Source organism: Homo sapiens, chromosome 16 (assembly GCF_000001405.40).
Source record: "Homo sapiens chromosome 16, GRCh38.p14 Primary Assembly".
Classification (NCBI taxonomy): domain Eukaryota; kingdom Metazoa; phylum Chordata; class Mammalia; order Primates; family Hominidae; genus Homo; species Homo sapiens.
In genome coordinates, this window is record NC_000016.10 from 66,134,761 (window position 1) to 66,149,719 (window position 14,959).

Here is a 14,959-nt window from a genome sequence, read left to right on the forward strand (position 1 = left end):
GATGGCTGGAATAAGCCACATGTCATCTGAGAAGAGGGATGGGGAAATTCACTTTGAGTGAGCAAGGAAAGGGTTAAGAGGTAAAAGCCACTGGAATCAGGAGACATTCTAAGGTCATTCTAGGGACATTAAAGATTCTAGGGTCCATTCTGTCATGACAAATGAAACGAAGTGCTGGTTGGAAACCTCTGACTGCCTCCCACATCCTATATTCTAAAAATTCATGTTCTCTTCTCCTGCCTGCCCAGGTCCACAGGGCTGCCTGGTTCCTGTCATGTGACCTCCCTGCCTAAGCTACAGACGCTACCAGTATGCTCGCTGCCCCCAGGCTCATCTCCAGACCTGGTCTTGCTAGAGCCCCAGTGCGCCACCCCTGAGCCTGCTGCTGAACCTAAGCTTGGGTCCAGCCCTGCCCTGTGCTGTGTCGGAACTGGAGGTAAAGGAAGGGATGTGGGAGCAGGTTTCCTGCTGTCAGGGCCTCCCCTTTTCCATCTGACCAGGCTACATTTAGATGGAGATGGGAGGCCTATGATAGCAGCCATGGGGTACAGTGGAAGAGGGGAAACATTGGGATGCAGTGGGCGGAAGCAACCTTGGGGCACAATGGGAAGAAGGAATTTGGTGGACCAACAGGATTTTGGAAGCATCAGGACCTGGGCAAACTATTTGCCTGCATGGCTTCCACCTCAGGCTGACATTGGCAGAAGCCCAGTGTCTGGGACTGCAGGAAGCTGGAGAGGAACATCCGCCAGCTGGACTCCCCTTAAAAGGAGAGTTCCTCCTAAAATAGGCACGCATGACCCAGCCATGAGGGCAGAGACGGATCCAGCAGCTCCCAGAGGTAGGACATAGCTCTGAGCCCAGAAGGAGTTTGGTGTTTCAAATCACACATCACAAATCGCTTTCTCTGCACATTCCTTGGAAGCTCTGGTGTGTAAACTTTCCACCTTATCTTTCCCAGAGTGCATGCCAGGACCTGGCCCTGGTGATGTTTCCATTTAAGCAAAAGAGACAGTGGGTGTCAGCAGCCCCTGGGGCTCCTAGTAAGATGAAGAAATTGATCAGGCTGTCTCCAAGCAAGGGAGAAGGAGAGAAGGGAAGAACAGAGATGAACCGCAAGGGAAGGAAGCGGAAAGGGGAAAGAGGACTTGCTATTGCTGCACCCAGTTAGGGTTTGCGGAGCTCCAGGTGGTGGTGCTTACCAGTGTGGCTCTAAAGTTCTCCACCAGGGTACAGATCGCAGGGTGCCCCTTACTTGCTGTGTGATCTTGTGTGAGTTAGTCAACCTCTCTGAACCTCAGTTTGCTTATCAGTAAAATGTCCATAGTAAAATAATTCCTCCTTTCTAGGACTGTTGTAAGCACTGCATAAGATGGCAAATGCAGCTGTGTCTGGCACCCAGCAAGCACTCGATCCAACTTGGGCATCATTATTACTTGACCAGGAACTTCTGTGAAACTTGGTTATGTCAAAAAGAGGAAGATGAGGATGACTGGGTCATGGTCTCTTGTGATCCCAGCAGGTAGGCTTTGAATAGAGTGCTTATCTGAGTCACAGGTAACCACTCTACCTTGACCTATGAAATCAAGAGATCAGGGCGGGTGTGGTGGCTCAAGCCTGTAATCCCAGCACTTTGGGAGGCCGAGGCAGGTGGATAACGAGGTCAACAGATCGAGACCATCCTGGCCAACATGGTGAAACCCCGTCTCTACTAAAAATACAAAAATCATCGGGCCTGGTGGCGCATGCCTGTTATCCCAGCTACTCAGGAGGCTGAAGCAGGAGAATCGCTTGAACCAGGAAGTCGGAGGTTGCAGTGAGCCAAGATCGCACCACTGCACTCAGGCCTGGTGACAGAGCAAGATTCCATCTCAAAAAAAAAACAAAAAAAGAGAGAGATCAATCAAGGCAGAGAAGCACAACATCAACATTTCACCTTCCACAGTGAAAGTAATAAAGAATCGGAATATTATTTAAAGATATGCAAATATCTAGGTCAGCTAAACTTCACTTGTTGGAAATCATTGTTTACTCTGCCCCAGCTGTAAATAGGGTCTGTGTTTGCATAATATATCATTTAAGGTTCTGCTGCTTTAAAAAAAAAAAGAAAAAAAGAAAAAGAAAAACATAAAGTTTAAAAACCACCATCGTGGATACATAGCACCTCTGGGTACAGATTTATGCCTTCAAGACCCAGAAGTCACATCTTTCCAGTGGGAAAGCTGCCTCTTTGAGAATACTGAGCTTCCGGCAGGTGGGAGACTGAATATGGGGGATTATGGTAAAGACATGTGAGTTCCACTTTTGACACATGTTGGTAATAATCACGAACGCATGATGTAATTATTCATTTTGTTTCAAGAGACATTTTTTTTCCCACATAGGAGCCATTGCTTTCAATTTTACAAAGTCAAAATTGAGCTCTCAGAGAGCTAAGTCTTCTGTTTCATGTACTATAACCTTTGGAAATGCATTTAAAAGGAAGAGAACAAGGTTTTTAGATATGAATAGCCGGAGGTGGTAGGAAAGGTGACCTTGCCGGAGGGTTGCCTGGCAATCAGGCCCACGGAGGTCAGCAGTCTCATCTTGTCTCTCCCAGACTAGAAGGTAAGAGTTACCCTTGGAACTTCACCCTGGCTCCTACACTCCTGGGCTGTAAGGAAGGAGATCTCACCTGCAGGAATAGGTAACATCCCAAGGTCCCAGAGTTAGGAACGGCAAAAGATGCTGGAAAACAAAGATAAAACTTCAGGAAGGAAATTAAAATGTACACTTAGGGCTGATGCCTGTTCTCCAGCCCCAGGGCCTTGTTTAAGAATCAGGAAGTACCGAAGAATATCATTAAGACTCTTTGATAAGGAAGGCAGAAAAATTCACTTACACCTAGATGGCAGCTGACCCATGAGAAAATCCTCCACTCTTTCAGCATGTTTTCCTTGAAAATATTGTTTATTTTTAGTAGAAATCCTGGGGAGGAGAGCTCTTTTAACTCTTTAATCTTTTGTTTGTTTAAAGAACTTTTCAATACTTTAGAATCCTTTTCCCTCAACACATTTATATCAAGACTCTTTTTGTCAAACAATAAAAACAAGCACTGGCTAACTCTTTAAAAAAAAAGAGTTTATTGCAAGGACACAGGGTCACTCACAGAATCAAAGGTAAAATCAAAAATGTATTATACCTTCAGAAGGACCGGAACTCCTGGGACTGTCAACACATGGCTTATCTTTCTAGAATGTTGGGAGATAGATGGATGTGGCTTCACCCATCTCCCCCATCAGGCATCTTTGGGCAGAATGATTGACAGGTCGTCCCAGCCACATCAAAGGAAGAGGAGGGAATTCAGTTCCCCCAAAGGGGATAATCACACTTCTGTTTTGACAATTTATCATTTGTGCGTCCTTTCTATGTAAGAAAAGTACTCAAACATACCTTTTAGTCAAACTCCCAAACTGCATAGGAAAGTTGGGCATTCTATTGAAATAACAGCAGAGAGGGCTGGGAAGGAGGAATGTTTTTTTAAAATCTTATTCCATCTTAATACATCCTCTGGATTAGATGCTGATTAATTTGGCACTAAAGGCTGCTGTTAATCAGTTGCATGTCAGCCATCATTTGTAGTGACATTTAAATTATAAAGCATGATGGGATTAACTGCACTTTTGCAAATAACCTCTTTATAAAAGTATAAGTAAACCTGATGTGCACACCGGAGGTATCAGCACCCCCTGTTTCAGTCATTGTGATTCTGGAGATTATGACAAGGCTTGGCTTGAGCTGATGAATTCAGAGCAACTGTGTTTAACAAGGCATTTTGAGTTTGGAAGTCATTCTCAGAGACCTGGGATTTCCTGAGCCAGTTTCCAGAGTGACAGACAAGCACTTCCTTAGGTTCACACCTGGTGGGATCCTGGCTCAACCTGGGGAAGGTGCTTGTTTGTTTGCGTCAAAAGAAGAATGATCAGTGGTCAGGTGGTCTGCACCCCTAGCGGCTTCTTGGCCCCAGGACCCCTAGAGGGCATGAGACCCTCTGAGAGCACTGACTTCCCATTGTCTAGAATGACCTGCATGATCTGCTCATTTGGTAGGGGTAAGCAGATGGGGAGAAAGCAGGCAGAGAGGGAACTAATCATCACTGAGTCCCTAAGGCATTCCAACAACTGCTTTCGGATCTTCTGGGGGCTCCCACTTTGTTATAGAGACATTTTTTTTAAACTTGTAAAATACTGGAAAAAAAAAATAAAGTAAAAAACTGAAAATACCCACAATCCTACAACCCAGGAATAACCATTCACATTTTCAAAGACTTGTTTAGGCATACGGGGTGCGTATGCAGGTGTGTTCATCCATGTTGTCTTCAATACTTCTTATGAGACAAATAGGGAATAAATAAATGTATGTGCATAATTAGGGTCATGATGTATGCATACTTTTGCATCCTGCATTTTCCTTTTTTTTTTTTTTTTTTTTTTTTGAGACAGAGTTTTGCTCTCTTGCCCAGGCTGGAGTGCAGTGACGCTATCTCATTCACTGCAACCTCCGCCTCCCCGGTTCAAGCGACCCTCCCCCCTCAGCCTCCCTAGTAGCTGGGATTATGAGTATGTGCCACCACGACCTGGCTAATTTGTATTTGGCTAATTTGTATTTTTAGTAGAGAAAGGGTTTCACCACGTTGGCCAGGCTGATCTCAAACTCCTGACCTCAAGTGATCCGTCCTCCTCAGCCTCCCAAAGTCCTGGGATTAATTAAAACCTTGGCTCAGTTTTATGTTACACTTAAAAGGCTGTCATTGCTCCCAACCCCAGTGCACTTAGTGAGTACTCAAATTTTCATTAAGTAAGGCAGGTGGTTTCAGTTTTGATAGGATGCTCCAGTGACAGGAAACTCACTACCAGTTGAGTCGGGTAGTTCCACATTTGGGTATCACAAACACTTGAAGGTCCTTCCTTATATCAAAACAGAATTTGCTGCTATGTAATGGCTCCATACTTGGGACATGCATAACTAGCTAATTCCTTTTCCACGGATTCTTTAAACCAGTTCAGATATTTCTCTACTCTCCCTCCTCCAGGCTAGTGAACTCAAGTCATTTGAGAGTTTCCTTCCAGGGCCTGATGTTGGGGCTCCTCCCCATTGGAGATTCTTTCCTCTGGTAGCCCCCCTCCCCAACTAGCTGCCTGCACCCCTTTTCAAGAGAGCCCCAGCCTTTGCAGGGTGACCCCCTCACTCTTTCTGCAGCTCACGAGTATTTCAGAAAATGAGTCCTAATTCTTCAGTAACTAACATGGTGTAGACATGCCACAGTCACTCCCCGAGAACAGTAGTCACACCAAGGTTAAGCTCACCCACTGCCTCTGCGGGCAACTTTCCTGTTTCTTGATCCTGATCCATCCCTCATTGGCTGTGTGACTGCAAGCACATGTCTGAACCTTTCTGGGCCACCAAGGGTGTAGGAAAGATGAAGTGATTTGACACTGCACACGCAGAGTTTATTTAAAGTGTAGGGCAGGCTTTACATTGGATGCTGTGCAGCCTATCCTACCTGGGAATTAATTCTTCACCTGGGCAAGTTCAAGGCAACATGGAGAAAACAGACCACTCGTGGCACCTTGAGATCCCATGGTGTCAAACTCTCTGGTCCCAGGGAGTGTGTGAGGCCAGATTTCTGGGTGAAGTACTCCCATGGTTTCCAATGTGCCAATAGTTTGCTGTACAGTGGGGAAGGGTGTGATGGAGAGATGACTAGGCAGGACTGGGACACTCAGACCTGCATATCTAAAGCATCCCTGTTGGGGACATGGGCAGAAAGTCAGATTTGCCAGTGTGCAAGCTTCAGCCATGACTGGTTCCAAGTTACCAACTCAGCTCTGCTACTGAGGAGCGGAGAGTCTGTGCAGAGTTCCACACACACACACCCTTTTCAGAAGGGAGCTCCTAGGCCTGGAATCTCAACACCTGGGATCAGCTCCGGAATTGGGACAAATGAAAGTTTAAAAACAAGAACAAAGCAGGACAAAGAAAAGAGGCTTTGGTTTAGCACTCCAAAATAAATGGCATTTCTGTATACTGCTGCAGTTTGGCCAGAAATTAACATGTTTGTAAATTTTGATTAAAATGTAATTTGGAAGGAGGAACAAATGAATAGTTGGAAACCCTCTGGGGCCTCTGATAATGGGTCTTACTGCTCCCACCAACTCCAGTTCCAATCCAGCATCAGATGATAACAGCCATAACAGAGGCAGCTCCGAAGGAGAGCTAGGGGACTGCTCTCTGGACAGCAATCAGGACCACAGCTTAGGTGACATCAGGGACAAACCATGTCAAGGAAGAGGACAGCTGCTTAAACTTCATTAACTCAGAGGCTCTGGATGGAGCTCATGAGATGTCAGCAAACAAAGGTATTGAAATGTCTTTCGAACACTATTTCAAGCATTGATTTTCATTTTCTCTCCCTGGTGTTTTTGTAGCTGTTATTGCTTCTAAGATGCCTGTTTCATGATTGTCTGTGCTCCACTGGGGAAACCAAAGTCCAAGAGATGATGTGCGTAGCGTGTCTCAACACATCCGGCTCTACAGGTGCCCACAGGCCACTCTGTCCAGGCACAGAGCCTCTCCCCACCCTGCCCATTGGATAAACTCCTATTCATCCTTTGAGACTCATTTCATGGGAGTTGAAACGAAGAAACTTGGGAGTCATTCAGCCCTGGCAGTTCTCCCTCCCACAGCCCAGGTCCCATTGCTTTTCTCTCTTGAATCCTTCCCCATCCCTCTGATGGTCCTGCCTGCATTCTCTCTCCCCAGGATGTAGTCGCCTCTGTGTAACGAGTACTGAGCTAAGGATGTCATGGGACAACTGCATTTCATCCACCCAGCAGCCCTATGTGCCTCACTTTAGAGATGAGTAAACTGAGGCTGATATGTAGGGGTGCTGATCTACAACTAACTTGCTCCCCAACCTTGGACAGTCTGCTCCCCTCTACGGGCCTCAGTTGTCTCATGTATAAAATGGGGAGTTTGGATAAAATTGTCTTTAAGATTCCATGTAGTTCAAACATTTCATGCCTTGCAGTTTCTTGCTTTTAAAAAAATGCCACTAGTGGGATTGTGTGTTTAGTTTTATATTTGGAACTAGTAAGGTTTTAAGAGAAATATTGATCAGATGGACTACAGCATAAGATTGTGAAGGGCCCAGCAGGAAATTTTTGAAGGAAGCAATGTTATCTAACTGACAGAGGAGAGAACACGAGAGCGGAGGGGAATGATCCGCTTCCCTCCGAAGAGGTGTCATGCAGAAGAGGCAGTGTGTCTCTCCTCTCTCTCCAGAACAAAATCTGAGCCAATCTCAGGAAGTTCTCAAGAGGCAGCTGTCAACTAAATTTACAAAACAACTTTCTACATCTGTACTCCTGAGGGACAAAAGGTCGCAGGCCTTAGAAATGAAAAGACTCAGGCTGCAAATGGCTCTGTGACTTACTGAGACCATCTACTTGAATATCCTAAGCTAAGCCTCAGTTTTTTCATCTGTTAAATGGGGATAAAACTAAACCCGCCTCAGAGGATTGTGGTGAGAGTTAAAATAAATAATAGTTGCAAAGTGTTTAGCACAGTGCTAGACTTACAACTAGTTGCAGTTATTATTATCATCATCATTAGAGTTAATATTGTTACCATCAGGTTTTTTTATCGTCTTCACACTGAGGCAGGCACCCCTCCTTCAAGGGGGAGGCTGGAAGTTACCCCTTCCCAGGCAAAGCCTCTTTGGTGACATCAAACCTGACCTCTGAACAGACCACAGAACACTATCCAACAGCATGGGCAGACCTCGTTGGCAAAAGCTGGATCCACTTTGAGCCTTGACTCATGCCACGCACCCAAACAATTCACCGGTTTCTTGAAATTCATGACTTGAAGGAATCTCAGCATCTCACACCTGATCCTGGAGGCAGCCTTATGGCCTCCCCTCCTGGAAGTGTCAATAAGGTGACAACACAACCTCCTCTGAAAAGCACAGAAAGGTCTATTCACATGGTGCCCAAACATGTCCTGAGTTCATGGGGACAGAGAAGCCAGGAGAGCAGGCTTAGGGAAGGAAAGAAGTTTATTAACTTGCACGATGTGCAGGTCCTAAAGAGGGCTGGGGCAGCAACGCACGGAGACAGACTCCTTGATTAACTTGGAAAAGCAACTACCCCAAAAAACAGAAGAAAGGAGCCAGGTGAACCTACACATCCCAAATCATCCTCAGGACTGATCTCCTTAATTCTGAAGATTCAAAAATCAAAGCTTCTTTTCTGTTTTATCCAAGAGCCCTCAGATAGTAGTTCTTTTCTCGAAGGGGAGAAATGAAGCTGAAAACTTGTTTTGTTCTCTCGTACTAGCCTATACTTTCTAGTTTTCAGAAGCCCCACAATTCATATTCTTTTAAATATCTTTAGAAAATAAAATTTGTTGTGCAGGCAGGTGATGACACAAACTTGACAGATGGGTAAAAGCTTCTTTTGCCCTGGGCACTCCTGTTAATGTACCAGGATATCTAAATTACTGAAAAAAATCTCTCCTTCTGCCTTTATTTAAAACAAACAAACAAAACAATACTAGTATAGCAGTGTGATTCAGACTTTATTTTGTTTGAAGCCAGTCTGTTTCCTGAACAAAGATTTAGGTTTGGGAATCCATGGACCCCATGACTAGAGAAGTGCTTGGATTTTTTCCTTTTTAAAGTCTTGGTCAAGAGCTGAGCTTTGCCACCAGGCCAGTGGTTCTCAGTCCCAGCTGCACATCAGAATCACCCAGGCAGCTTTAAAAATACCAGTGCCAGACTCCACCCAAAGCAATTAAACTGTAATCTCTGGGCAAGCAATGCAGTGCAAGTCAATGAACCAGACCGTAGCCTCCCAGGTCCAAGCTGTCTGGTGAGAACAGGTACTCATCCTCCCTGGACTTTACCTTCCCCATCCATATAATGGGAGAGGCAATATGCCACTCTCCTGGGGCAGCTGCAAAGATTTTGGAGTTATTTCATGTGAAATGCTCACTTAGCCCATGCTTGGCTCTTCCTAAGATGGCATGGGTGCTGAGTGATGGCATTTGGCTGTGGGCAACTCCCTGACATCCTTGCATAGGTGGAAAGCTCTATGACCATGGGCAGTATGAATCAGGGATCCCTGTTCCCAGTCCTAGTGTCCTTATCTGTGAAATGCAATAATAGTAGCATCTACCACAGAAAGTCATTTTGAAGAGTCAATGATGTAAGTCATGTAAAGTTTAGCACAATGCACGATATATACACAACAATACATATTAGCTCTCACTAGTGAAAAAAAGTGATACATAACTTAGAGGAGCTATCCTATAAAATACAGATTTGTGCCCCCATTATAGAGATAATAGGTTAAGTGACTTGCCAAAAGTCACCAGCTGAAAAGCAGAATACCCAAGATTTGAACCTCAGACTGTCTTTCTCCAAAGTCTATATTTTTCCCTCTTTGTCAATTGCCTTTATGATAGTACCTTGGTTGCTTCTTCAGTGAGGGCTAAAGTCATTGCCCTGGCATTTAAGACCCTTAAAGTTGGACTTCCATCAGCCATTTCCAATCTTAGCTCCACTTGCACCCACTGTTCCTCGAATGTCCACTGTGCATTCTCGCCTTTGGGCCTCAAGTCATACACCTACTTGGGCCTAAATCTTTCCTCTTTTCCGTGGCTGGTTCGGATGCCTCTCCCCCCTCCTCACAATCTGCCTGCCAGCAGTGCTTCGTGCTCTGCTGAGGCCCAGGAGCACTTTGTGAATTTTCTTAGTCTGTCTGATATTATCAAATCTTGCTTGCAAGGCATCTCTGTCCTGCCAGACTGGGCTCTTAGGAGCAAGAATTTGTCCTAATCATCTCTATCCTGGCTGCAACTCTTAGTAACTCAATCCCATGCCTTCCGTTTTTAAATAGGGTAGGGTGGAGGAGACAGGTTTGTCATAAATCAATCCATTTGACTAATATGGGATGTCATAGACACCCTTAACATTATTAATTGTCAACAAGGTTTGGCTGTGAAGTGTTTGGCAAGCTGCCCATGATGAGTTTTTGACAGTCAGTCATGTTGGAAATTTGGGGTGGCAGATGGGTGTGGTTAGCAGCATATGGCTTGAAGTGTAGTTTCGGTGTTTATGTATTTTTACAAACTATGACTTTATATTTATGCATCAAGAAGAGAAAGAATTCAAAATTAAGTTGTGCATTTCAGGGAATTGTGTTAACGTTCTTCAACAAAAAGCAAATTTCAGGTTGTAGAGAGCACCCTGGAGAGGGAGCTGGGATCCCTGGGTGTTAGTCCCACCGCTGGCAACACCTGTGATGACCACCAGCCAGTGAATTCCTCCCTCTGGGGAGGTATTTGATGTTTGTTCTATGTCCAATACTCTAGGATCATTGAATGCCAATTGAGTGGCATTTGTGGACTCTGGTATTTATTCTTCAGGACCATGGGAGGGTGAAAAAGTTTTGAATGTTCTTGCCCCTGGAATGGCCTTGGGTGGTGGCCAGAGGCCTGGACCTGAAGGACTGCATCTCCGTTTTCTGGATTCATTTGACAGATGCACAGATTCTAAACTGTCTGCGATAAGGAAAGCACTGCTCCCATGAGATCTGGGTTTTAGGGAAATAGATCGAGTTCTATTTGCTTTGTAGAAACACATCCAGGCCCTCACAATCTTGTTTGTTTGTTTTTGAGACGGAGTCTCGCTCTGTCGCCCTGGCTGGAGTGCAGTGGCGAGATCTCTGCTCACTGCGAGCCCTGCCTCTGGGGTTGATGCCATTCTCCTGCCTCAGCCTCCCGAGTAGCTGGGACTACAGGCACCCGCCACCATGCCCGGCTAATTTTTTTGTACTTTTAGTAGAGATGAGATTTCACCGTGTTAGCCAGGATGGTCTCGATCTCCTGACCTCATGATCCACCCGCCTCAGCCTCCTGAAGTGCTGGGATTACAGGTGTGAACCACCACGCCCGGCCGGCCCTCACAATCTTTTAAACTCCCAGGGTGATTCCTAAATCTGAGTTCTTGGAGATTGATCTGTCCAACTTTCTCTTTTCATGGATGAGGAGAGTGAGGCCCAGACAAGGGGAAATGACTTGCCCAAGGTTGTAAAGGATAGTGGGGTAGAGCTGGGACCAGGGGTTGTTCTCCTGGATCAGGGATTACCTTACCACACACACTGTGCTGTGGAACTTAGTGGAGGCAACTACAGAAGTGTGGCTGGGGTTGGGGATAAATCCTGCCCCTCTTGGAAGGGGATGGCTGGATACCTGGAGCCACCTGCACCTTTGCAAGCCCCCTAAAGTCAGAGGTCTGAGCTGGAGGAACAATGGAGAATGTCTCATCCTGCCTTCCCCATCCTGGGAGGAATACACATGAGCCGGGGCAGGAAAAGATGCTGGGAGCAAGGCAGGTTTTACAAAGGTCAGTGGATTCAATGTGGGTAACTTACAGTCAACTTTTCTGTTTTAAGCAAACACATATCAGGGAAAATTGTGCAGAATCTACTTGAATGATGAATGAAGTTGTCTACTGCCTCCTTCTCCTGGTGCTCTGAGAACCCAGTGCTACCCTCCTCTATCCCGAGAGGACATTAATTGTTATGGACTGAAAGTTTGTGTCTCCCCCAAATTCATATGTTGAAATCCTAACCCTCAATATGAGAGTATTTGGAGATGGAGTCTTTGGGAAGCAATCAGAGTTAGATGAGGTCATGAGGGTAGAGGAGGTGACATGGGATCTTTCTCTCTGCTCTCCTCCATAGGAGGACACAAGGAGAAAGCAGCCATCTGCAGACTAGGAGGCAGACCCTGACCAGACACCAGATCTGTTGGCACCTTGATCTTGAACTTCCCAGCCTCCAGAACTACAGGAAATAAATGTTTATTGTCTAAACTACCCAATTCTGTATTTTTGTTATAGCAGCCTGAGCTCTGACGTTAATCTTGCACAACCTCTCCATTTTACAAATAAGTAGACTGAAATCCAGAGAGGGCAAGTAACCTTTTCAAGACACACAAGAACCAAGACTTTCTGCTGAATCATGATCGGCTCCTGTCCCACACCTGTTGCAAAGGCTCGGGAAATTCTCCACCCTTATGCAGCTAGGCTAGAGCCACTCCACACATCTTCCAAGGCGCTGGAATGCTCACAGTCAGGAGGATTTGAAAGATTTCCTGTTTTTAAAAAGCTGAAATCGAAAAGTGCTGTCATTTTCTTTAAATACATTCTTTTGAATAAAACATCTATTCTTGATGCCAGCAGCAAGCTTCGAAACATGTTCAAGATGACATGATTGATAACAAGAAGGCTTTTTCAAGATGTTTCTAATTTCATCTTCCTGGTTAAAGAATGCGAACTTTCTAACATGATGTATGGCCTAATAAGAGGTGCGCGTGAACCGAAGTTATTTATTTATGCTTCCATTTTTGACAGATGAATATTAACTACTGGGAAAATTGTAAAGCCAATTAGTAAAAGCCGAATAATGTCCATATGAGAATGTATGACTAGAAACACACATTACTTCTCATCCAAACAACAGAGCTTCCTCTGGGAAGCTGTGGCCAGGCCAGGCCATGGTGGCTTCTTTCCCTCGCAGGTGCCCCCAGGTTGGCCTTGATGAAGTCCAATTCCAGAACAGATTCTGGAATCCCCAAGGGAGAGTGGTTCTTGCCACTCCATATGTGGGACATACATAAAACGTGCATTTCTGCCAATCCTGTCGGCTTTCTCCAGCTACCCAGCTGGCAGACCTCCAGGACTGAGGGAAGCTAAGGAAGAAATGGGAGACGCAGAACTCTAAAGACGGCCTGCACTGGCTCCATTCTCTTCTGCGTCTTAGGGGCAGTCTGTTGTAGGGGAATCAGGGGTAACAAACCTCCCAATCCCTCACCCCCTCATCTCCTAGAGCTTGTCTTGCTCTTAATGCTGATACAGCTCCCAGGAGCTGGATAAAGCCACAAACAAAAGCCAATTTGGAAGCAAGTCACACATTCAAAAATATTTCTTGAACGCCTACTGTGTGCCAGGCAACCAGAAATGCAAAACAGACACACTCCCTGCTCTCATGGGGCTTCCATGCCAGAGGGCAATGTAGCAGGGCCCCTGTGGGGACCCAGGAGAAGGCTGACACCCTGAGACACTGCTGGATGCCCCTGTACCCGTTGGCCTCATCACTGAAGCCGAGAAAGGGAAGCGAAGGGGCTGACAGCAGCTTCCAAAATTAACAAGAGGTTAATTTACCCAACACATGCTGCAAATGTTGTATTATGCTTCTAGAAATGAAACAAACAACCTGAGATTTCACTTGGAGGCTGTGAATTATTCTTTCCCCCAGCACCCTGGGCACCAATCTGTCACCTTGGATTTTTTAGCCCATTGCTAATTTTTAATAACTTCTTGACAACTGCTTGCTTCATATTACAACAATGCTACCACTGTGCAATTTAAGAAAGTAATAAATGTTCTTTAAAGTATAGAAGGCACTCCTCCCAATACCCTACACCCACTCCCCACCCTGCATATTTAGCCAATGATCAGATCTGCCTAAAAACCAAACTGTAAGTTTTTCCCATTACAAATAATTTGCTTTTAAAAGAAAAGGCCCCTTTCCAACTGAAACTCCCAAGTACAATAAAAAACCTAGAAGGGCTCCTATTTTCTTCTGCCCCTTGACTCCCCTTGCCTCATCTGTGAGCCTCGCTAAAGTGTGTGATTGGATTTTTCATTAAAAGCCCCCCTCCCACTTTCTGAAGAATCCAAGAAGCAGCAGAAATCAGATCTAGCGTTGTAAAATCCTAGCATATCTGAGTCGGGAGGAACCTTGGGGATATGCACTTTCTAACCCTCTGATTTCCCATTTTTTCAAAGGAGGAAACTGCCTAAGTCCACGCAGGCATTATGTCAGGGCCGGGACAGGAAGCCCATTCTCTTGGCTGCTAGATCGTTTCCACCTGACCAATGCCACCTCACATCTGGGTTTTCCCACCTCCTGGCCCCCAGTTATCATCCTGGGATTTCACATCCTAAATAAACTGTGCAGAATCTCCAAGAGCTCTTTGGGAATCCAGGTGCATGTGTGCAATGAATAACCTCATCAATTACAGAGGAGATGGTCATGTGTGTGATTGTGTATGGAATGCTCTTCCTATCTCTGGAATAAAATCTTTGATGCCATTGGTACTCTATTCTTCCAAAATAAAGTATAGAAAATTTCCATTTCTTCCAGTGGTTAAGTACAGAGTTCGAAAGGTCATAAACTGTTTTACATGACCAAATTGATTAGCTTCTCTATCCCTACCTAACAAAATGCAAGAGATCCAAGTGTTTCATTTCAGCCCAAGAAATCCATCGTTAAGTTTAATGCAAACATTGTTCTTCATTACTCAGCTGGATCTTCTTTGAAAGGGAATTCATTGTAATACGATTTGGACAAACCTGCAGAATCATATTAAAACCATAAACTATGTAGAAGTACACGTGCTGGCAGGCATGGGAGATAAGTTGGGCACTTGGAAAAGTTATTATCATGCTCCAAATTTAGTGTTCCAGTGTCTAACTGCAACTCATAATGTTAACTATCAGGCTGTTTAGGCATCTTTATTTCTTGTCAGGAAAATGAAATTGTCTCCTGTCATGTTGGACAGTCTGGGTATATAACTTATGTCACAGACAACAAAAATGTGTAATTTTATATGTTCCTGTACTCAATATTTTAGTACAAAAGGACTTCAAACTCGAATTAATACACTTGTTCAGCATGCCATTTTTGAAAACCATAGCGGAGCAGCAAATGAAGAACATTACGTGATACAAGCAACTTGTCTTGCTATTTTTTTTTTTTTAGTTAAGACGTAAGGAGAGAAAAGGAGTAGATATTTATCACTCTAAGTTACTTCCTGAAGTCTGAAGAATTCTCTCTTTCATCATTGT

At 44.9% G+C, this 14,959-nt stretch overlaps 1 long non-coding RNA gene across 1 annotated transcript; it reads left to right on the top strand.

Moving 5' to 3' along the window:
- The first annotated feature begins 221 nt into the window (after positions 1–221).
- LOC105371316 (uncharacterized) lies at positions 222–11,839 on the top strand. The gene is made up of 3 exons (XR_933684.2): positions 222–436; positions 1,350–1,522; positions 11,790–11,839. It is a non-coding gene; the product is annotated as an uncharacterized LOC105371316 (long non-coding RNA).
- The last annotated feature ends 3,120 nt before the right edge of the window (positions 11,840–14,959 follow it).